Raw genomic sequence first — 3,212 nt, forward strand, 5'->3', positions numbered from 1 at the left:
ACCACATCAGATGGAGAATTTATTTTTTTGTTTTATGTGTTATGTCAGATGGAGATATTGAGGTATAGGCAGAGAAATGGAGAGAAAGTGCAACCAAGTTTTACAATGTTAGCAGACTTGGTAAACCTTTTTATTCATTTTCATTTCTGTCTCCATTCCACTTTAGACTCAGTATAGTTCTTTATTCTCTTTTTTCTTCTCATTTCCTTTCTATGAGTCATCTGATATCATTTATTTTTAATTTAGTGTGAATGTATTTCAGAACCTAAACTGGAGTTGCCAGAGTACTATTTGAAAGAGCTGTGTGTTCTGTTCGAAGGTCATTCAGTACTCCCACTTGCAGCTACACTGGAAGAAAGAGGTACCTGGAGCATGACCTAAGACAGCACAGGTTACTCTGCTTAACAACAGAATCCTGTTTTATCTGTGCTTGTCTTCTACACTCTTTTACTTGTAGTTCAAACTTCTTTCCTCACATCAACACCTTTAGCTCAGCAGCCTGGCTTCCTCCTCCCAAGCTGGAGCATCACCCATTTACACTAGCCTTTTGGTCTCACACCTCAGATATTTTTTTATTTTCTATCATTTGGCATCCAGAACATCTGGGACTGAACCTTCTAAGGAGAGGTGGGCTGCATATGGACGCACTTCTCAGAAACATCCCGGAGGAAGCTACGAAAAAGGCAAATAGGAATCAGAGGCTACATATGACTGGGTAGAGAACAAAATGTCCTGAAATTTGACTACTGGGGAGCTGGGTTCAGGACTTACGCATTTTAGTGCATCATATTAATATGTGAATCTAATAAAGATTAAACTGCAAATGTGGGCACTTCATAGACACTAAAAATCAACAAAGAGAGGATAAAAACTATGAACAATTGCACTGATTGAGATGAACTTCTCACTGTTTTTTTAATTCCTTGTAAATGCATCACAGGAAGTATATGCAAAACTATATTAAATAAATATGTATAAAATGCCTTGTACATGCCAAGTGTATGAAAGGCACTCAAAACTGCAAATATAGGCCGGGCGTGGTGGCTGTCTGGGAGCACTTTGGGAGGCCAAGGTGAGAGGATTGCTTGAGCCCAGGAGTTCAAGACAGCCTGGGCAACATAGTGAGACCCCATCTCTACACATAGTAATAATAATAGTAATAATTAGTTTGGTGTGGTTGCAAGCACCTGTAGTTGCAGCAACGTGTAAGGCTGAGGTGGGAGAATGGGGTTTATGACCTCACTGAGCTTATGAGGTCAAGGCTTGAGTGAGCCATGATTGCAACACTGAACTTCAGCCTGGGCGAGAGAGTGAGACGCTGTCTCAAAAAAAAAAGTGCAAATATATAATTAATTATATATTATCATATAATTATAATTATATATGCATTATATAATAAGCATTTGATGAAACTATTAATTAACAGGTGTTTTATAAGATTATCTTTAAGGTTCATATTGTTATAACTTTAGTGTCCATGTAGCAGAGTTTTCTATTCATAAATTTTCCAAACTGGTGGGAACACATTGGTGTGGTTTTTTTTTTTATTAAATCCTACTGATAATTATAAACCATATCTTCATCTAAAATTTATGTTCCAAGTTCCTATAATTCAAAATGTCAGAATAATTTCTGCCATTGATTCTGAAGGTGTCTCTTTCCTACCAGTTTCTCGGCTGTTTTGTCTGGATTCATATTTAAGCATTTGGCTTTCATTTTTATCTCTAATTCATCCAGGCTGGAAGAGTTGAACAGTAATACCAGCTGGCATAGAGTTGAGCCTGTATCAGCATATTGATGTTCCTGCATCAGCATATTGATGCTAGTGACACCAAAATGTTTCTCTGTGTCACTAAACTGCCTCACATAGGCATTAAACAAGTGTGGTGACAAAAGAGAGCTGACAGTAATCATCCCCAGAATGGATGAACCGTTGCCCATTGGAAGAGAAAACGTTTCACAGTGAGTTGGTGCATTATCACAATGACATGAAACAAATCAATATATCCCAACTATCAATAATAAATAAGAGTAAGTATGTGACATTCTGCTAGTAGTTGACGATTAACTGTTGAGACTGTGACACTTTTGGTTCTGAACGTAATTAAAAACAAAAGTCACCATGATAAAGATGCTTAGAAAAAACTGCAGCTGCTGCTCAATCCTGATGTGAAGAATAACTAGCTAATCAAGTATTTTTTTAAATTTAATTAACTTTTTAGTGAAAGAAAAACATATATACAGAAAAGTTCCCGCATCATACTTGTACAGATCAATGAATTTTTTACACAGGTATGACATTTGTGTAAACTCTACCCAGCTAAATGAATAGTACATATTGGTAGCACTTCTCTTGCCTCCTAACGGTCATTATTCACATCTTTCTCCCCAAAGCTAATTCATTAGCTTTCATTCATTCATTGACTAACCAGAGCTCTCACATAATCAATTAATTTTATCTGTATTGTGAATCATAATTCTGTGCTACTTTTGAGAGTGGTTTAAAGTGGGGAGTGCACTGCCAGACACATGTGATAGATTATTCTACAGCAATACAAAGAAGCAGCTTGAGCCCCAAAGACCAGGTAAAAGATGATTAAAATAGTGTGGGTAAGACAGGATGAGGAGTCAACAAAGAAATAGCAATAGGATTTGTAAAGAAGAGACAAAAAAGAGCCTGAATAGCCAAAGGAATCCTGAGCAAAAAGAACAAAGCTAGAGGCATCATATTACCTGACTTTAAAATTACCTGATATCACAACGCTGTAGAAACCAAATCAGCATGGCACTGATATAAAAATGGACACTTAGACCAATGGAACAGAACAGAGAACCAAGATATAAAGCCACATATGTACAGCCAATTAATCTTTGATAAAGCCAACACAAACTTACATTGGGGAAAGGACACTCACTTCAATAAATGGTGCTGGGAAAACTGGATAGCCACATTCAGAAGAATAAAACTGGACCCCTATATCTTACCATATACAGAAATCAACTCGAAATAGACTAAAGACTTAAATGTAAGACCCAAAACTATAAAAATATTAAAAGAATATAAGCCAGGCAAAAAAGGTAAATATCACATGTTCTCACTTATATGTGGGAGCTAAAAAATTTCAACACATGGAGGCAGAGAGTGAAAAAATAGATAACAGAGACTGGGAAGGGTGAGCAGGGGAAGGAGAAAGGATGAAGAGAAGCAGGTT

Source organism: Homo sapiens, chromosome 13 (genome assembly GCF_000001405.40).
Source record: "Homo sapiens chromosome 13, GRCh38.p14 Primary Assembly".
Taxonomy (NCBI): domain Eukaryota; kingdom Metazoa; phylum Chordata; class Mammalia; order Primates; family Hominidae; genus Homo; species Homo sapiens.